Consider the following 22,394-nt stretch of genomic DNA (forward strand, 5'->3'; position numbering starts at 1 on the left):
GACTATCCAAAAAATACTCCTGAAAACACCAACAGTCTCAACTCTGCTTAAAAGAAAAGTAGCCACACATAAAAACCTCCTATGCCTGACATGGTCACAAGGTCATAAAAGCCTTGGGAGACAGAGAAGTCATGCTGAGCTTAAAGCCATCTTGAGAAGTCTTACACATGCACAACCCTGATTTGCTCCGACCCTGAGAATAGCCTGTTGTTAGGCAATGTCGGCCAATACAGACTCTACTTGCCAAGAACTTCAAACATGACCTTTACAAGGTAGCAATTGTTGGAAACTATTAAGATGCCTCTGAAAAAATAATATAATCTGCAGCGACAATATGCTGAAAGAAATGCCAACCCTGTAAAGCAAGTGCTCTCTCGCCTCCCTCACACGTGCTCAGGCAGAAGGGAAGAGAAACATTTTCCTCCACAGCAGTTCTTAACTCTGCGTCTCTCTTCTGTGTCGAGACATAATTGAGCCATTTGCTAATTGTTTAACAGCAATTAAGGAAGAGAATGTCAGGGGGAGGGGAGTGACAGCAGACGGGTGTTTGCCTGCTTGGTCGCCGATTACCAGCAGCCAAGCTGATGCCAGTGAACAGTGCTGGCTCTCAAGACTCACAGTGGTGGCGCTTAGTGGGCCCTCTCCTCAAAGACAAGGCCCAGTGCTGGGAAGTGAGCAGTCAGCCCTGACATCTGAGCTTCAGTCAGGTGGGCCCAGATGACTGAAGTCCATAAAGTCCTATCAAAGGAGGCCTGGCAATTAGACACCCCCACCCCCCACCACAACCAGAGCCAGGACCTGGAGCAGTAGCAACCTCCTCCTCTGCTCCTTTCTGAGCTCCCAGGAGCCCAGTTCCTCACCAGATCTCCTCCCATTTTCTAAAGCAGCTCTCTCCTCCAGAGTGAGAAAGCCTGAGACTGCCCACTTGGGTGAAGCCTGGGCTGCCCAGGGTCCAGTCAGCAGCATCAGTGCTTCTCTTCCAGCAGACAGAATTAAAAGCTGGCAATCAGGCCCCCAGCAAGCTTTACTCTTTCTATGCTGATAACAGAAAAGAAAGGAAAGGATTCCAGAAGTGCTGGGCTCCCAGATGGTCCAGGACAAAACCACAAAGCGGCAGGCAGGAGGACTTGCAAGTCCCGCCAAGCTGAAGACGGTGAAGAAGTCCTCCTGGGCTCGGAGCTGTAATGACTCTATATCTGAAATTCGAATCATTGCTAAGACCAGCTGTAGCTTCCCAAATACCTTTTTAGATGGTTTTCTATCCATCCCTGCACCCTCTCTGCAAATCCAGGCCTCCCTCACACCAGGCCCAGATGATTCCAGGAGGCTTCTCACAGTCACCCTGCCTCCAATCCTGCCCCAACCATGCCCACCCTGCAGCCAGTGTAAGCATACTCAAAAATATAAACCTTTGGTAGGTTCCCCAATACTCTTCAGGCAAAGTCCAAACCCCTTCATGTGGCCCCTGCAAAATGTGGCCCTTGGTGACTTTTCTAGCCTCATTTCTACAGCTAGTGAACCCCTTTCCCTACCTCACATGTGACCCAGCCACACTGACAGTCACCAGTTCCTTCAAGGTGCCATGCTTTCTCTCACCTCTTCGACCCCCTCCTCCCTGACTGAATGAGCTCCTGTGCCCCCAGCTCTTACTCTGGTTGACTCTTTCCAGCCTTAAGATCTCACCTGAACCATCGCTTCCCCAAGAAGACTGCTTACACCTCCAAACTGGTTGAGGTGGCCTTGCTCTGTGTTCCTGCAGCTTCCCAAATGTCCCTTATCTAAACATCTATTCTAACGAAAGGAGACTGCTTTTCAATTTGTCTACCTTCCTTGTAAGTTCCATGAAAACTGGGGCTTTGTCTATTTTGTCTTTTGCCATATCCCTAGTATTTAACACAGTGTATGGTACAGAGTAGGAAATAACTCAATACATATTTATTGAATTTCTGAATTCAATAAAGTCAGAAATTTACTTCAGTCTTCCTTGCCATAAAAATGCAGTATCAAGAGTAGTTAAGAAATTACTACGGCGATCCTTACTGCCTGGAAGCCAAGCGAAGGGTCAGAGTCTATATCACACTCTCAAACCAGCTGCACTGTTGGCCTTCCATTTGTCAATTCCCTGTAGTACCCTTCTGTTCCTTATCTTTTATGGATTATGCTTTATAGTGTCTGAATAAACATTTATTGCCATGTAACATCTTACATCCCTTCATCTCAAGACTCTGTGCCTTTCTGTGCACTTTATCTTTGATCCTGGGGGAGTCACACAGCTCTGAGTGGTGTCCCTGGTATCAGGGCATTAGAAGAGGCCTGCTGTAGACAAAGACTCCACAATGCATCCACCACTTCTAGGAACCTCTGACTATTGGGGGCCCGGAAGCAGAAGGAAAGCTTGTTTGATGAAACCCAAGGACAGATACCAGCATCAAGAACAGGAAGATGCTCAGGTTTCTTCTTCCAGCTGCCCCGGTGATGCTCACACAGCCATGGAACCCATCTTGAAGGAGTAAACAATTCACCTGGAAAAATGTGATTATGTATTATGGAGTGTGGGTTTCCCTGATGATGATGGGACAGGGACAGTAATATATTTTTGCCAAAACTAATTTTTATGATTTTGACTTAATGACATTGAATCACCTCCAACTACACATGCGTCATGGTCTCATCTGTCCTTTGTTTCCTGACACCGATGATCCAAAAAAGGTTCTAACTCCATGGGATGGGAAGTCATTTGCTCCTTTACAGTTAACTAATTCACTCTTACTAATTGAGCATCTACTGGTGGTCTCCAACAGGTTTGTCTCTGAGACTAAATCATCTTTTTGAACCTCAATAAATAAGTGGCCAGGTATTTAGGAGCAATGTCTAAAACACTCCAGTAGTAAATCCAACCAGACTGAAATAGCCCCCTTGGAAGGAAGCCTCATAGAATGCCACAGGGGTCTAGAATTGTCCTCTGCTTCAGAAGTCTTCAGCAATCAAAACACAGCTTCAGATTAAGTAATATTTGCCCCACTATGTTAAGAAAGAGAAAACACAAACTTCTAGATGTTCACATAAGACAGAAGACTAGCACACTAATGCCAAGAACCAACACCCATGCCATTTCCCACTGCAGCAGTGCCCCTCCCACCACTCTTTTCCCTTTATCTTCCAATAGAAGTGAACAGATCACAGATACCCAGGCAGGAGACCATGGGCGTAAAACTCCCACTATCCTTGTCTTTTGGGGCTTCGGTATATCCTACACGGAATATGGGAGAAGAATATTACAACCTTTGGTAAGATGGCTTTAGACATCTTCTTCTGCCCCAGGAAAAGGGTTAAGCAGGTCTGGGAAACTGAGAAGCTGGTCAGGCTGGTGCAGGAATTCAAAGACACTAAAGGAATATCAGGATGCTGTTTGGGAAGGTCTGAGGGCCAGGCCCAGCAGTATGTATATGCCACTCCTCTTATGAAGAATCCGAAGTCATTGCAAAGGGGTCTCCCCAATCCTTCTCAAACCAGCTATTAAGTACTTCTAAGCAGGCAACCTTCCCATATCCAAAAAGTCAACTTTCCTGCCCAAACTACCAAGAGGCTTTGACCAGCAAACATTTCCAGAGCTATTTCCCGGGCAACTGACAGCATTTCAGCCATGTCTGACAGGTTACCACTGCTCTTTGCAGCTCAAGGTTCACAGGGAGCTGGCATTTTAAGCTCCTCCTGCGAATGAGTGGCAGAGGTGAGTGAGCAGGTTTTTGCTGGGGTTTGATGTACAATACGCCACTTGCCCAAACAGTCCTGAGTACTCAGACATCTCATGGCTCATCTCCAGTCTCAGGCTGAGGATCAGACAGTTTGCTCCAGAGCTGGAAGGAATAATTAGAACAGCACAAACAGGATCTTCACAAAGAGAGAAACATTGCAAGGAGCTGCTAAGTCTCTGCCAGAGCCCCAGGTTGGGTGTTCAGCTAAGCAGCTTGGCCCAGGATAGGGATGGCTTGTTTTTTTCTATTGCAAAGCTCTCTGCACCCCATTGACTCAAATCCAAGTTGAGTTATGCGGACTGGAATCTCCCCACTCCTTCTCAGCTAGACTCTTTTTTGGCTCCTCTCTTGGTAATGATGTTTTCTGAGCAGCCACTATCTACTACACCCCATGCCTGAGCAGCCACTATAAACGGTCTCTGCCTCTGGGATCTCACATTCTTAAGGCAATTATAATACCGAGTATCCCTCCAGCCTGGAATTGCCAGATCATCTTCTCACCTTCCAAGCTGGCTAAGTGTCCCTGCTTAGACGGTTTCAATATCCTCCCTCTCCTTCTTATCTCATGTTTCTCCACAGGGGCATCCTCATGGTTCTTCAAACACCTCACACTGACTTACTGCACTGGCCCATGCTATTTTCTCTATCTGGAACATTCTACTCCTCCACTCTCAGTTTAAAGGACACCCCCTCAGAGACACCTTCCCGGATCACCATTCCCTATAAAACAAGTCTCTCTCCAACCCTCTCTTTCAGAACTATGCTTCATAGTACTTACTAAAATTTGAAATTACATATTTATATGCTTGGTTACCTGTTTATTTCTGTGTTCCCTACCAGATGGTAACTTCCAAGTGAGTAGGAATGGTGCCTGTCTTATTTGCCACCGCCCTCACCCCATGTTTTGCACAGTGCATACAACAACTGCAAGTGTTCAATAAGAGCTGCTGAACAAATGAATGAAAGATTCTTTCTACGGTGAGTGACCTGGAGCAAAAGGGGGCAGGCTCTGGAGGGCCCCATTAGTAACGATAGTGGCAAGGGAGAGCTAGCTGAGCATTTTTAGCAGAGGAGACACACAGACTTTTATTACAAAAATTCTCCTTCTTCGGATATGTGGAAATTGACTTTGGGGTAGCAGAAGGGGCAGACTGGAGGCAGGGAGACCTATTAGAAGGGTTCTATAAACACTGATATCCTTGCTACTAAAAGTGTGGTCTGTGGACCAGCAGCTTGGTCATCACCTGGGAAACTGCTAGAAGTACAGAATGTCAGACCTGTCATCTCAGAATCTGCATTTTAACAGCATCTCCAGATGATTGTTTACACACCTAGGATCTGGGCCTTAAGTGAAAGACAATGATGGCCTGATCTGCCTTTGGGAATGGGGGATAGAAATGACTCATCAGTGTCCCCTTTAAATCCACCACTCCAGACATGGCTAGGGTGTCAAAAGCAAGTCCTGTTACTATAAACTATCAAAAATGTTGAATCTATTAGGGGCTAAAAAGAGTAAGGGGATGGGGAAGTGTGGGTTTAGTTGAGCTGAGATGGGCTATGGCTATTGAGAAAGGCTATAATCTTGGACAAAGAATTTCTAACTCACAGAACAGGTCTGGAGTTAGAGTTAAGGATTCCTGAGTCTGGCCATGAAGAAGAGCCAACTCTTTTATTCCCATTATGTTATAAATTTTCCCAGCACCTAGCACAGTGCCTGGCACTAGAAATGGATCAAATGATAACCTGTTGAATGAACCAAGGAACCAATCAAGCAATGATATGCTATTGAATCCTAAAGCAGATCCCATGGGTCTGAGTACAAGCCAGACATATGTACCTTTCCACTTTCCTGTTTGTAAGAAGCACATTTTTCTTCTCCTTTGTTAGAAAAATGTGAACATCTGGGAGGATAAAACTCAACTATTAGTGGACAAAATCATAAGGATATATGACCCGTGCATCACAAAATCGATAGGGAAAAGTGGTCACAGCCTCTAAATAACCCTGATAAGTCTCTGAGGACAGCAAGCAGTGAGGATCATCGTGAGCCTGTGACATCTCCATGGTGTGAGGGTCAAGGTGGTGAGGGGATCACAGAGAACAGAAGTGGCCAATTGTCTGTGCAGTGGGAGCATGACAAGAAGGAGGTCCCAGCAGAAAGGCCCAAGAACCATGCAGCAGTGTGGCCAGGAGTCACCAAGATGTCCCCTACAGCAACTCTTTAGTCATGGGCTCCACTCTGCAAGTTAAACCTTACACAGAAAAACAGGAAGACAGATGAAAATGGTGTAGCTCTGGCTGGAGGAGATGGGGAGGGCAAGAGCTCTACTCCCACCCACCATGTCTTACAGAAAACCCTGACACACGCACCCATACACTGGCTCCTTTGTGTCTAGCAATGTTAGTCTAGCAATGTTAGATCCTCAGGGGATGGTTGTCGGATATGAAAATGAAGAAGCAAACTCCTATCAATTCTATGATTTCCCTTTAGTTCATTATCCTGGTGAAACGTACCCATTCTCAATCACAAATGGCCATACTTCACCCAAGGAGAGTTCCAAGAACAAATTATCACCTCCTTTCTCTACTTCCATAACCCCTGCCTCCCTGCCTGTAAATCCTATTATTAGAGCTTAGGTGAAATGCCCCTCTAGAAGAGGCTTTTCCTCATCTTTCCAATAGAAATAAAGCCTTCCCTCATCCCTCCAATAAATATAAATAGACATATTTTATCCCAGCCCCTTTTTCTGTGAAACAATTTTCTTGTTGTTGGTTTGAGTTAAAATGACCTGTCACACACTTGTCCCTACCCCCATTCATCTGTGAATCCCTGAGGCACCCCCAGAAAAGAACAGTGCCTTATTTGGGGCCTGTGCAGGGCCAGATGCATTCTAGATGTGCAGTAAGTGTGAATTAGGTGTGCACTGATGTCACACCCCTTCCTTCCACTGCACTGGCACAAGGCAGCATCACGACCCCCCCTTACTGGTTTGCTCCCCATCAGTTGAGCTATATGACTTGCCTCTTTTGAACAGCTGGCTATCCCACCTTCTCCAGGAAGCTTGTCTAGATTAACTTCAGGATCACATGCCATTCTCAGAACCATCCCTTCTTCTTCCCCTCCAACCAGCCCAGTTACACAGGATAGAATATTTTTATTTTGCTTGTCTCCATGGCCAGAGAACATCTCTGAGTCTGCTAATGCAGCAGCTTCTCAAGGGCAAGGCCTGGAGCCCACCACGCTTCCCAAGCCCCAGTTTTGGCATAGAGAAGTGTTAGAACAAGCCGACATGAAGTATTTTTGATAACATAAAAAGACAAGAAAACCAACCTTGGATGTGTAGGAGTGGCCATCTGAGCCGCAGACCATGGCTGACTGTGCCACGGGACAGGGCTTGCACTTGACCAAATTCGAAGGTCCAACCCAGTGTTTCTGGGCCACGTTCCCCTTCTTTTGCCTAAAGATGAGAAAAAAGGGGATAAATTAGTTGAAGCTCCAGACCCTATGAGTCTTTCCTCTAAGTTCCCAGAATAAAAGGCCAAATAAATAAAGGACTATCCAACCAGGCCAAGGGATCCTGAGGGCCTTAGCCAGCACTTCCATTTGCTCCAACTCATTGATAGGAAGCAGAGGATTTTGTCCCAGAAGCATAGATTCAACAAACCAGATGGACTGAGGAAAACAATGTAGCCATTGAAAACATGACTACTGACATGGGAAGATTTTTACAACACACAGAAAAAAAAAGAAAAAAAACGGTGAGGGAATATGGCTTAATCAGCCCCAATACCGTATGTGGCATATCACGGGTGCCCAGAGAACAGCACCCCAAAGTCTGAGACTCTCCTGGGACTCACAGGCAGCCTTTTGTGTGGAGGACGCACGGGCAACTCAATGAGCGCTTTAGACAAAAGCACACCTCTGAACACAACTGAAAGACTTTATCACAGCTGTAGAAAACTATCTCTGGATATATTTTAAAGTAATTTCAGTCCAGCTTCCAATCTGCCATTTGATAGAGGCTCTGAGGTGATGTCACTTTCAACTGTTAAAATAATCAGAATTCTACTCTTTCATTCCAGCTCAAGTTTTTCCCCATTCTAACCTTTGTCATAATGATAAATGTCGCTATTAGGATGACTTACGTCCACGGAAGGAACCCCATCACTATATCATAAACCACTGAAATAAAGGCCTGCAGTTACTGCCACCCTTCCTCTCTTAGCCAAAGCTGTTCTCCAAGCAAACCGCTTGGAGCGACTCCCAGGGCCCTGGGGCTGAGTTCTGGTTGAAGGCTACCCGTCTCTGGATAGCCCATCAATCAGGCAATTACTGTGCCTTTGAAATGTTTGGCACTGGCCTTCCTGCATGATGATTAGTGCTTGGGCTCTGGAGTCAGAAAGTACAAGTTCAAATCTCAGCTCTGTCATTCACTCACAGTGCGACCTTGGCAAGGTATTTAATGGTACAAATCTCAGTTTCTTCATTAGTAAAATGGAGGAAAATAGAATTGACTTCAAGTGGATATTATGAAGATTAAATGAGCGGATGTATCTGAAGTACTCAGCAGAGTGCCTGCAAAATAGGAAGCAGTAAAAATGGTAGCCATTATTACAATTATTACTTGCCCCCACAGGTGGGGGTATGGAGGATGAAATTACCATAACCATAGAAATGTGATTAATCCTCAGTCCCCAGGCTTGGAATGGCATTTAATTTTCAAAATAATTCATGGAAGCAGAAGACGGAAATATTTTCTACCAGGTGTGGAATGAATCTCCAGTCCTCAGGAATTCAGGTTTGGTATCTAGGGTAACCTACCCTCTTCCAAATGAAGGAAAGTGAGCAAGAAAGAAAGATGCATAAAGCCAAGAGGACCGTTAATTTGGTTCTTATTCTACCTCAAACCTACTCTAGCAATTTGGGGGAGGTGGTAGGAGGAAAAAGGTCTGTTTGGGGAACAACCTTTGAGGGTGACATCAGAGAGGATCAACAGGTACCCACAGCACAGCACATGGGGCCCTCAGAGATCCTAGGCTGGGCAGGCCACAGGGCTGAGCCTGTCTAACCACAGAACCAGAGAAGAAAGTCTTATGAGTGTCCCCTGAAATCACCTTGCTTGTTCAACTTGCTTGTCTTACTAGCGGGGAAAACTGAAACTCAATGAGAGCCAGAGTCTTACCTAAAGTCGTGGAGCTGATCAGTAACTAGATTTCAGATGGCATGCACACAGCTGTAGAGAGTGTCCAGGGATGTGTCTCTCTTCTTTAGCCCATCTCAGCCCAACCTAGATTACCAGCTTGAAAATTCTTTGAGGGCACCCATATGTGTGTCATTTGGGGTCTTCTCTCCAACACTTCACTGCTTTCATAGCTGCTGCTCACCTTGGCTTTGCCCTCTGGATTTTTTAAAGTCTATTATTTGCATTTATAAATTACATGGGCATGAGGCCTCCTATTATCCTTCATCAAACATACGGTACTCTTTCAGGATTTGTTCTAGGATACTGATAAAGGGATGGTGGGTGGGACTCCTTGTGGTGAAAGAGGGGGCTGTCAGCATGGGGTTAATCTTAGGGTACGTGATTCCTTCAGCAGAACACTAGACTTAATCATCATTTACACAGCAGATTGTCTGACACTGATAATGAATCAGCAAATGCAGGAAGTAGTTCTGGCATTTAGCAGCCCTGCTCCTGGGTCAGTCCCCAGTCTGCATATCTACAGCTGAAGCAATTCTTGTTATGAGTTCCCAGAAAGGGGCTATAAAGTCCAAAGAGTGGGCAGCTTTGCTGGAGCAGACATAACCATGTAAAATGATGACCTAGAGGAAAAAAGCCTAAGGGAGCTTAGCCAAAGTCAAGGGAGGGAGACGTAAGCACTGAACCAATGGCTTTGAAGAAAAGATGGAATCAGCTATCAATCACCAGTTAATGACAAATCATCTCTATCACTGGACCTGAACTTCACCATTAAAGTAAGTTCATTAAAGGGAAGCAACGAGGTGAGGCTGACTGGTGCCTATCAGAGGGCCTGGTGCATCCTGGACGCTAAAGATATCCCTGTAGGGTGGCGGGGTCGGTGGGGGGAGTCCCTATGTGCTGACCACTGCAGTGGTATCTCAGCAGTTAATCACAAAATCACAGAATGTCAGAACGAGAAAACACCTTAAAACTACTCTACTTCAATAACTTTATTTTCTAGGTGAGAAACTAGAGACACAGAGAGGAAGTGACTTTCCCAGTGTCACCGAGAAATATGGCAAAGTTACATCATCTAAAATTGTTGAACGGAAGTTGTTCAGGAAACCAGCATCAATCTGGGACTATTTTCATCCCCTGTTTTGGCATATGTACTTTCATTACCAACCTTCAGTTTTATAAATAATAGTCTTCTGAAACATTGTTCCTGGCTCTATACCTGCAGAGCAGCAAGCTGGACATACTTGATATCAGGTGGTTATGAATTATGCTCAGGTAAAATCACCTTTGACTTCTCCTAGGACACGTTGGGGGCTCTGGGCACAAAGGGCAAGCCATTCTGAATGCTCTCAATTCTAATGAAACAAGAATACCTGTTAGATGGGGGCAAACTCAGCTGTTGCTTACCTCCACAAGGTAGGACTCTAGTGGAGATAGCACATGATTCTGAAGTCTCTTTCCAGAGGCCAAGTATGTAAAGTTATGTACAAGTATATGTGAGCCCAGGGAAGCATAACTTCCCTGGCTATTGTATATTTTAATCTCCACAATTCAGTGCAAATCATAAAAAAATAACTAACCCAGTCAAGGCAAGGGACTAAAATTTTTAATCAAGATATTTCTTCATTTCTCTTGAGTCAATGAAGAGTGAAATCCAATGAAGGTATCTTGATGGGATTGTTATGCCCAATGTCACAGATATTTGTCAACTGGGGTGACACAACAATTTAGTCTGAGAGCAGGTTCTGTCAGCCTTCTCTCATTGGCCAGCGAGCCCTAAATCCACCCCAGCCCAGCTGGTGCCAAGGGGCAGCCACATCTCCTGCAGGCTGATGGCACCACACACAAAATCCCAACCCTCAAGCCATCCACGATGGCAAGAAGACAGATAATCAACAGATCACTGGCATTTCCTATTCCTTTTTGTTCAACTGTATATTCTCCATCTTTTTTTAAAAAGTATAATCAAATTCCCAGCATTATGTTTGTGAAGCAAAGGAATGATTTTTAGGTGCAAATCCGATCATGTGATTCTCCTGCTTAAAACCTCTATCTTCAGCTGGGTGCTGTGGCTCAACGCCTAAAATCCCAGCACTTTGGGAGGCTGAGGCGGGTGGATCACCTGAGGTCAGGAGTTCGAGACCAGCCTGGCCAACATAGCGAAACCCCGTCTCTACTAAAAATACAAAAAATTAGCTGGCTGTGGTGGCGGGCACCTGTAATCCCAGCTACTTGGGAGGCTGAGGCAGGAGAATCACTTGAACACGGCAGGCGGAGGTTACAGTGAGCCGAGATCATACCACTGCACTCCAGCCTGGGCAACAAAAACAAAACTCTGTCTAAAAAAAAAAAACTTCTATCTTCTCCCTACCTCCTAGGGCATAGTCTATACTCCAAGCTTGAGAATTAAACTGTCCCAGCCTACCTTCACAGGCTCCCTGTCTACCTGCTCCCCTCCCCAACACACACATGCACACTGACCACGACCAACATCAATTTTTGCTCCAGCCACTCTCAGCCGTTTCCCAGAGCCAGCTCTTTCCCATGTGCCATCATGTGGGTTTTCCTTGACCCACATTTCTCCCCTCCATCCACCTTTCTCTGTGGCCTGGCTAAAATATCAGTTCCCCAGGAAGCCTCCTAGGTCCCTCCAAAGGCAGTCAGGCTGCACTCCCACTCCACCATAGCCTAGTGACCACTTCTGGTTGGGTTCTCTGACTAATTTCCAAGCAAGCACCTTGATTTAACTTGACAAAAGGTTAAGAGGTTATTATTCCAACAGGACATGGGGCACACCCAGGCTAAAAGCCTGGGAAGCCCATGCTGGACACCTCCATCTTCCTGCTCATACCAGTTTTCCCTGCCATGCAGTCCTATTAAGTTCTATCTCCAGCCAGCCATATCTACCACTTAAGTGTCTCTTCCACGTGTCATGCAAATTCAAGTCTATAGGACTGGACAATTATTTTCCATCTGCATAACAATGTCTATTCCTTGTTCAAGCTTCAAATCCATTGCTTTCTGTGAAGTCTTGCTGACCCTGTAAACTTCATCCCAAGTAGTTAACCATGACATTGTTTATTCAAGCATTATAACCTGTTCAGTCCCAACTGTGGCATTCACTACAATGTGAAAGTTCTTTTTGTGTCTATCTTCCTCAATATACTATGTACTCCTTAAGAGAGGTGACTGGGCCTTAATCATGTTTGTGCTTCTGGTACTTAGAAATAGGGGAACACTTGGCACATGATCCTACTCAGTCCATAAGTGAACATATTAATTTGGACCTTTAGAATTTTCTCCTTTTATTTCTGGAAAATGTTAGCACTATGGTGAAGACAAAAATGGTGTGTTGTTTTAAGCAACAAGAATTCAACAGGCTCTTGTTTCCAGAAATCCTAATTCAGACTATGAAAAAAAAAAACCATTTAGCAAAAAATCCCACAAAACTCTAGAAACAACTGAGAAGTGGGTGGAGGGAGCTCCCCTGTGCATCAGCGGGCTAAGGATTCCCATACTCTAGAAGTCAGACAGTTTCCAAAGCTGCATGAGGGCCTCTGATGATGTGGTTCCAAACTGTCAGCAGATATTAATCTTCAGGATTCAGGAATGATAAATCAGAATGCTGAAATAATGTTTTTCTATATTTATCACAATATTTTATGTGTTTTTTTAAATAAGCAAGAAATATTAAGTTTAGTAGTATTTATAAAGACATGCAGCCTAGAGCAAAAATTCAAACACTGTGAACTGTCATCCAACATTATTGGGTAGTACTCAATTAACATAACATTTGGATCTTCTAACAAGTTAACAGTACTGCCCAGAATCACATGTTGATATTATCAAATTGAAGACTTACTTTGCTATAAAACAATTCTTTGGAACCCCACTCAGAGGATTTTTATAAAATATAGTATTGAAACAAATCTATTCACATTCATCTTATTTACAAGAACAACTCTCCATGAGTGGCTGACAGGACTATAAGCACAATCTTTTAAGATGGCAACAGCTACAAGCAAGATGGACTGCCCAGGTCATAACCCCTCTCTTCAAGGTGCTCCTGTCCTGGTTCCTGGGAATGTCAACCTTAACCTTCAACTCCGCACGTCAGTGTTTCCCACTCTTGCTTTAGACAGGACCCCACTAAGATATCCCCACCCTCACCAACCCATACCCTGTGACCTCCCCCACAGGGGACACCAAGGGAGTCCTTGAAGACATCAATGTGACCCAGCATTTCACTTGACCATGGCATAATGGGGCCATAGCCAGGGCCGACAGCAAGCAGGTGGCAAGACAGAGTAATTTTATTTTAGCAATAAATACATGTACAGGTGTAAATTTCCTGACATAATCCTGCTGAATGAAATTCAACAATCTGTGTCAAAAATATTTTAATAATGGGGAAAGTAGCTGCTAAAAACGTGTAGAATTGCTGACTTTTTCTTTCAGTCACTGAAGGAGGGCCATTCATTTTACTCAGTACACTCTGCCATCTACCATGTTTGTATAACTTTAGATAAAACTGTTTTCGCTCTGCATATGAACAGCTGCTGAAGGAGTAAAGCAATTCCAGATAATGAAGACCAGCAGCAGCAGTCAACTTGTTTCGTGTGGCTACTACATGCCGGTCTAATTGCCCTGAACGCATCTCCCTGATTCCTCACACATAGCAACTACTCTGAGGGTAAATGCTATTAATAAACCCATTTTACAGATCGAAAAAATAAGGCATACATAACCAGTCCTAGTAACTGGACCTTCTTTTCTGTCCTGTCTTTGTTCTCTTATCACATCTCTAAGACAGAGACCTGTCAGCTCAAAGGGATGAAGAATCCACCAGAGAATGATCCCTCTCCAATAATAAGAGTCTTTGTTTCCTGGCACAGAAGGATTACATGCATTTTACTTTCATGTTACTATCAAATCGCCTATTCAAAAATAATGAATTTGTTTGCCAAATCAAAACTAATTGCTTCTAAAGCAGATAGTTAACATAGTGGCTATTTTGAACCAGAGACAAAATAATGAATGTTAATTGAAATGAAAAACATGTTAACCATTGAAATAATCTGTCATGTAAAACGATGCTATAATTCCTCTGTTGTTAGGGTTATTTGAGTCATTATACTAAGTCATAAAATTACACAGGAAGAGCATAATGGCCTGTGTCATTTACAAAAGCAGCTCTGATGAAAGAGACTCCCACGAGAGAGATTTTCCATCGTGGGGTATGTGGGCTCACGTGTCTCCCTCCTGTTCCAAATGAAGAAGATCCCAGACGTGAAAGCATGTCCAAAGAGTCCAGTTTTCCTAACAAGGCAAAGAGAACTGAAGAGAGTGACTCCTGTGTGCCTGAGGGTGTCCCAAGCACTACTGGGCACGCAATGGTGCAAAAGACTTGCTGTTTACAGAAGCTGAAATTTAAAAGGACAAATATGTAATAATAACAATAACAGCAGCTAAACATTTACTGAGCTGCCTTATAAGCGGCCTTATTATGCCACTGCTGCTACTACTGCTGTTACTACTACCCATAATAGCTCACATGTGTCCAGCTCCTTTAACATACCAGGCATTGTTTCAAGCCCTTTATTTGATCTGTCCATCTCCTCCTCTCAACATTCCCAAGAGGAAGAAAAGTCAAGGAAGAGCAAGAGAATCTGTTAGGGAGGTGGTGAGTTGGGGAGATTTCATGGGAAAGCAGACGTGGGGCAATGGGAAGGACCCATACCCACAAGATAAGCCCTCAGCATCAGGGTGGAGGGCATCCATTGATTCAAGCTGGGAGGTCAACCACAGGAATACCAGCACCTTTATGTGCTTCACCCCGTCTTGCTTGGCCCAGATAACGAGAGCCAGGGTCACCACACATCCAGGTCAAGACTTGCTCATATCAGGAGAGACAAGCAGGCCCCAGAAGAAGTAGAGAGCCATCATCCCAGGGCATGCTTTCCAAACCAGCCCCAAGCCAGGTTTCTTAAGCACCTTCAAAACTCCTAGGAAAAGTGCATATTTAAAAAGTCTTAGAGCATAATCAGGCCCACCAGAAGGATATGTGTCTGGTATGCATGCAATTCCAAAAGCATGAACATCTCTCTGGTGTACCCGAATGTTGAACTCTAGACTGTGGTTCATTTCAACTTGGGACTCCACGATGTACCTCTCACCTGGACTGCACAATGGCCAAGGCAGCTGAGGAGAATCTATTCTTCATAGATGAGAGGATTGAACAGCCTCAAATGAGAATTTCCAAAAACACTGCATGAGTAGGTGCAAATAAATTGAAAATGAGTAAAGAGGCACACACCAAATGTGTAACACACCCTCAAGAAAAGTAGGATTGAGGACATGAAACAGAACTGCTGCTTTGTTACTCTATATGCCTTTCTATTGCTCAATTCTCTTGCGACCATGTATCACTGATCTAAATTGTTCAAAATCTAAAAAGGAAATGCATTTTCAAAATTTCTAAAGAAATACATGCTGCTGGACTCACACCTGCCCGCCAGTCTCGCATTTCTACAGCAATGCTTAAAGAAACCAAAGTTGTCACAGTCAGAGAAAGATCTCCCAAGTGCAGGAAGGAGGCTGAAGAAAGGAGTTACCTAGATAAAATCTTCCTGACCAGTCCTCAAAAGTTCAGTGGAGATGAAGAGGTGAGATCAATCCTATCTGAATTAAATTTCCACCTTAATATTTTGAGGGCCTGTTTAAGCTAAGCTATCAAAGCTGAAGGTATAAACATTCCAAATGTGTTAGGATTCTACAGTCTTTACTTTTTCAACAAACACTTATTAATTACCTAGAATGAGCCAGAAATTGAGCAACAAATTCAAAGATACTGCTAGCACTGCATTAAATGTACGTCCCATAACATACATTAAATGGGATGATTATTAAACATAATGATCATATTTAATTTCTCTGAACAGCTAAATTTATTCAGAAAAGATGTTACCTTAACTGTTTTTGCTCTTATTCTTATTTTGAGACATTAAAGATCCACAGACTGATAACTTTTCCAACAAAATATTTATGTGGCAAGACATTTGCTATTAATTTCAGGAATCCCATGAGCCAGGCTATATTTAAATATGCCAGGAGCAAATTATGTGGCCAATGGGAAAACAGTAAGAAGAAAATGAACTTGCCAGATCACAATCCATATCTCTGGTGATTCACACACTTTGGAACATTACTTGAATCAACGTTTCCCTGTAAGTGAAACCAAATTTATATATAATATATTTAAATATATAATTTGTATTATTATATATTATATATAATATATTCTATATTACATAGAACATTATTCTTTATTACATATAGTGACATTAATTATATATAATATATAAAATTATATATTATATATTTGGTTTCCATATATATTTATAAAACAGGGATACCAGTATTCCTGGACATCATATAAGTGTGTGTGTATGTATTTTATATACATATATAAAATAGGGATACTAATATCCTTATTATCCCTATTAGTAGTATCCTTATTATCCCTATTATTATATTTTATAAATATTTGGTTTTAAATATATAATATATAATTATATATAATTATTAGTATATGTTATTATATGTCATAAATAATACTGTTATTATATAACAGTATTATATATGATTATATATATATATATGATGTCCAAGGATACTAGTCAAACCTACTTCCAGCATTAAACTCACAATATCCTCCATGTTTCCTGACCAGATCATGAAGACTAATAGGATGACGTGACCACGTAAAGTCTACTAACTGGTATGAGACTGCAGTCTGCACTTTCCATTAAGAGAGTGACAGAGCACACCCAGTAACACTAAGGGTATCTGTGAGGCAGACACCAGTGGGGTTTTACCTCAAAGTTCAGTTGTTGAACAAGCAAGGCCCCTGAGGCCTGCATGCAAAAGCAGTTATACACACACACACACACGCACACACACACACACACACACACAGAGGCACTCTCAGGCTCTGACTAAAATTCTGCTTTGCCAAGGAAAAGTGCCAAGCAGCAGTGTAATTGCAAGCTATTAGGGAAATGTAAACGAACAGTTGAGCTTTTTTTATTCCCTTAGGATAATAGTTAGTGATGCGCTCTGTTTTAAAAATCCATTTCTTACTAACAAGGGTCAGAAAAGAAATTGTTCCTTTTGTCCACTGACCTTTGGCATTTTGGTTTGATTTATTGTTTTGCTACTTTACTTTTTTCATTGGCCCATTAAAGAGAGGTCCATCTCTATCCCTGAGACCTTAGAGGAAATCTTTAGCAATGGACACACCAATTGGAAAAAAGCAAATACTCATCAAGCAAACCCACGGCTGAGAACTTCATTTGGTATCTCCTGCCTGAGCATTCATAATCCTCCTTCTTCACAGGAGGGGCCAGAGCAGCTGGGAAAGCACAGATTCCAGCTAATTGTAGGCTCAGGTGTGCATACAAAGGTTGGCACAAGCACATGTCATTCCACCATCAGCTTCGCTGTTCTAATCTTGGAAAACACTTGCTTACATTCCTTGAGGGCAATTAATTATCATGGGATGTGCCCATGGGAAAGAAAACACCTGTAATTGTTTTCTGGTCACCAGCAGCAAAGCCCCCTGTTCTGGGAGGGCTGGGTGTGATTGCCATTAAGAAGGAGCAAGTCAGTAAAATGAAGCAGAAGTGGCTTCAGGGACATGATGCCAGGACAGACACAGAGACAGGCTAGATCCTGATTGAGACATGGCATGTGAGGAGCTTAGGCTGAACACCATTCCCCATAAGACATTAGTGGTGGGTCATTCACAAAAGCGCTACAGGAGGCTGGTACAGCCAGATCCGCACCATTACTTATCCCCTGCTCAAGAAGTTTCTTCACAGTCAGTGTTGGAGGAGAGGAGACGGAGCCCCAGAGAAGCTCCTTCTCTCCTATGTGGCCCTGACTGGTAGGACATTTTCTGGATTGGTAGTCAAGAACTCTGGCTAGCTCCCCAGGCCTTGTGTTTTCTCCAGCACTTGTCTTCTGCTGGTATGCCCCATCCGTTCCCAAAGGTGAGCTCAAGTAGCAGCCCTCTCTGAGAAGGTCTCAGATAGCCTCCACCTCCACACACATTTGCCCCGTGTTCCCAGCCACTCAAACATAGCTGTTTATCACTGGCCACTTTGGGCAATACAGTTGGTACTCAACTGCCCCTCTTGTACAGACAAGATGCTCAAAATTGTGTCAGCACAGGGAGTAGTAAGCCAATGTGTCCCAATGCTATTCCACAGCAGAACCAGACAGAACCTATTCTACCTAGACCGTGTTGAAGTTATCAAGAAAAAGCCTTTTGACTCAACCTAAGGAAGATAACCCAAACATGACATAAGAGCTGTCCACACAGGAAAGCTACCTCAGAAAGTTGGTAGGCAGGCTCGCAATACTGCAAGAGTTCAAGCAGAAATCACCTAGAGGAAGGGGATGTTTCCATTTATTTAACCTTGTCATCACTGAACATCCTGAATCACACTGAACATCCCTGTATATAAACCTGTATGTGAATGTCTATTTACTTCCATGAGATAGATCCACAAAAATGGAATCAAAGAATCAAGGGGGTCAAAATACCCACCAGAAATGTTGCACCAATTTGTACCCCCAATGCCAGCACCCTGAAGGAGCACAACTTCATCACCCCAAGCCTCTGCTCTGCCTATTTCTACCAGGTATTGCTCTGAGAACCGCTCTGATGCAAAGGATTTGGAACCACCACCGAAGAACTGTAGGTAATCACAGAGCCATAAAGAACAACAAGCCAACTTTCCACGTACCACAAGACGAAGAAAATGGTGCAAGGAGAAACTGCTCAAGTTGGAGACCAGGTAGACTGGCAGGAAATCACATATTTCAATTAGTTTGCAGCATATTTCAATTAGTTTGCAGGTGTATCCTGGGCTCCCACATGGCAGAGAGCAGCAGCTGCAGGCCTGAGCCCCTCTCAGGGTTGAGCAGCTCACCACCCAGCCCCTCTTCTCTGTGCTTCTCCCCAGGACATAAAGCGAACCCCTGAGGATGCTGCCTGCTGCCTCCCCAGGCTTATTTCTGGCTGAGTGCGCAACACAGGCCTCAGGCAGCCCTGTTGCCTCCTATTCTGAAGGGCAACATGGGTGAATCCTGTGGACCAAGGGGAGAGGAATCAGACCTTAGAGAGAAGAGATTCTGGAGCCTACAAGCCTCATGGCTGAGGCAGTCCTTAAGGATAAACCTAGGCCAGGCATGGAAGAGCCTCAGGGCTCAGGACCAGTGAAGAGCCATGCAGGCCCTCATCGAGACAGTCAGCAGTGTGCACACTCAATACCTGTCTCTCTCCTTTTTTACTTCCTTAAGGCAGATCCAAGGCCATTCTGCAGCACTCTGAAGAACACAGAACTGCAGGTCTGAGAGACTCCTGGGGCCACTGGGATGGATGACATCCTCTCACCACCAAGGCCAAGCCTGCAGCTGCAGAGGAGAGCTGACTTTAGATGTGTGTAGTCACTTTGCACAAAGAGAGGAAGACAAAGAGAGAAGGCCCTAAATAAGCAGGCTACCAGGTCGGGCAGGGTGCAGAGTCTAGTTATGTTGCTCTTTCTCAAGAACAGGGCCACTTTCACAGCAGATTGACACATTACCTCCAGTTTCCCTGGGGAGTTTCATAGACACATTCTGAGTATTTTCTGTGTATCCAGGAATGTGGTAGGTTCTATGCAGCAAACAAAAGGAAATGGAATATACTCACTTCCCTCATGGTATTAATAGCACTAACTCTTACTGTAAGCATCACTTTGCAACTCGGCTGACCTAACACAGCTTCCATTAAGTGCACCAGCTTGGCCCTGTACCCCCAGCTCCTTTCTTGATTTAACTGATTCATTCATCCATTAAACGTGCCATGAACACCTGCAGTGTGCCAAGGCCTGAGCTAGGCACAAGGGATACAAGAGTGAACTAGTCATGCCCGCCTATGGCTGACACTCCAGAGGGAATCTGGGCATTGCAAGTGAGTGGTAAGAGCAAAACAAGCAGTGGAGTGTTCATTCAGCCAGTAGAGAAAGCAACAACTGCTGTAGATCAAATGTCTGTGTCTCCCCAAAAATCCATATATCAAAATCTTAACCTCTAAGATGATGGTATTAGGAGGTGGGGCCTTTGGCAGGGGTAATTAGGTCATTAACTCACCTCTCAAAGGGATTAGTGCCCTTATAAAAGAGACCACAGAGAGCTGGCTAGCTGTTCCCACAATGTGAGGACACAATGAAAAAATGTCCTAGTGAAAAGGGACTCTCACCAGACAGAGTCTGCCAGTGCCTTGACCTGGAACTTCCTAGCCTTCAGAACTATGAGAAATACATTTCTGTTGTTTATCAGGCAGTTTATGGTATTTTTGCATAGCAGCCCCAAACACGATAAGATGGAAAATTGGTACTGAGAAGTGGGGTGCTGCAGTGACAAGTACCTAAAAATGTAAAAGCAGCTTTGAAACAGGGCAATGGACAGAGGCTGGACGAGTCTGAATGTGCATGCTGGCAAGAGCCTAGATTGTCATGAAAGGATCTTTATGGCTATTCTGGTGAGCACCCAGAAAGAAAAGGAGAGAGCTATAGAGAAAGCTTTGATCGCCTTAGAGAATACCTAAGTAATCCTGAACACAATATTGGTAGAAATTGGATAGTAATATAGTTGGAATATCTGTCCCCTCCAAATCTCAAGTTTGATCCCCAGTGTTGCAGGTGGAGCCTAATGTAAGCTGTTTGGGTCATGGAGCAAATCCCTCATGAATGGCTGGCTGGGTGCCATTCTCACTGTAATAATTGAGTGTTGAGTTCTTGCTCTTTTCATGTCCATGAGAAATAATTGTTAAAAAGAGCCTGGGACCTCCCTCCTCTTTCTCTCTTGCTTTCACCCTTGCCATGTGATGCTGCTCCTCTTTGCCTTCCACCATGAGTGGATGCTTCCTGAAGTCCTCATCAGAAGCAGATGCTGCACCATGCTTCTTGTACAGCCTGCAGAACCATGAGCCAAATATATATCTTTTCTTTATAAATTACCCAGCCTCAGGTGTTCCTTCATAGCAACACAAACATATTAAGATAGCAAAGGCCATTCTGATGAGGACTCAGACATAAATGAGGAATATATTATTAGAAACTACAGGAGATCAGGCACAGTTGCTCACACCTATAATCCCAGCACTTTGGGAGGCCAAAGCGGGTGGATCACCTGAGGTCAGGAGTTCGAGACCAGCCTGTACAACATGGAGAAACTCCATCTCTACTAAAAATACAAAATTAGCCAGGCATGGTGGTGCATGCCTGTAATCCAAGCTACTCGGGAGGCTGAGGCAGGGGAATCACTTGAACCCAGGAGGCGGAGGCTGCAGTGAGCTGAGATCACACCAGTCTGGGCAACAAGAACGAAACTCCATCTCAAAAAATAAAGAAACTAGAGGAAAGGCCACTTTTGTTAGAAAGTTGTAAGAAAGAAACTTGGCTGAATTGTGTTCATGTCCTAGTGTCTGTGGAAGGTAGAACTTGCAAACAACTAAACTGGATATTTGGCTGAGGAAATATCAAAGCACAGTGTTCAAGAAGTGGCCTGGCTCCTCCTGATTGCTTACAGTAAAATGACTCAAAGATGAGATTGTTCATCAACAGGGAGGCAGAACTTAAGGATTTAGAAAGTTCTCAGCCTATTCATATTGTAAAGAATGAGAAAACATGATCTAGAGAGAATGCCAAGGGTGTGGTAAAGTGACAATGTATAAAGGAGATTAGTATGGGTCAGCCATCGCAACAGAAGCCAGGTGCTATTCAAGACAATGGTGAGATTAGTCAGTGACCTAAACAAAAGCCAAGAGCTATCATCAAAGACAAGGAAAGAGCAATTCAGAAATCATCAGGGCTGCTCTACCCATCACAGGCCCAGAGTACAAGAGCCACAGTGAGTACTATGAGGCCACCACAGAAAGACCACATTAGGGCAATGCCCACCTACTCCAGCAGCTCCATACCAGCAGAGCTACCAGTGTATGATTCCAGCCCAAGAGAGCTATGGTTGCAAGAACCAGAGACACTGTAGGGGGACAGGGCTGCCTGGAGCCATCAGGGGCCCAAACCCTGCTAGGCAAAGCCGTGGGGGCAACACAGCCATCTCAATGGGTCCAGAAGGTGAGACTCTCACTCCAGTGGGTCTGGCAGGCAGTACCCCTACCCCAGTGGGTCTGGAAGGGAGTAGCTCTGCCCAGTGGGCCTGAAGGGCAGAATATAAAGTCACAAAAGATTATTCTTGAATGTTAAAGTTTACTACTATTTGCCGTTTTGAAGTTTTGACTTACTTGGGGCCTGTTATCCCTTTCTTCTTTCCTATTTCTCTCTTTTGGGATGGGAATCCTATACCTATCCCACAATTATATTTTGGA

General features: G+C 44.1%; 1 protein-coding gene across 1 annotated transcript in view; it reads right to left on the reverse strand.

The window, feature by feature from the left end:
* SPOCK1 (SPARC (osteonectin), cwcv and kazal like domains proteoglycan 1) overlaps positions 1-22,394 on the reverse strand; it is a 524,029-nt gene that overhangs the window by 130,051 nt on the left and 371,584 nt on the right. The window contains exon 5 of the mRNA NM_004598.4: positions 7,087-7,213. Within this exon, the coding sequence (NP_004589.1) occupies positions 7,087-7,213 (127 nt within the window). The remainder of the gene's footprint in view (positions 1-7,086; positions 7,214-22,394) is intronic.

The sequence above is a fragment of the Homo sapiens genome, chromosome 5 (genome assembly GCF_000001405.40).
Source record: "Homo sapiens chromosome 5, GRCh38.p14 Primary Assembly".
In the NCBI taxonomy this organism is placed as follows: Eukaryota; Metazoa; Chordata; class Mammalia; order Primates; family Hominidae; genus Homo; species Homo sapiens.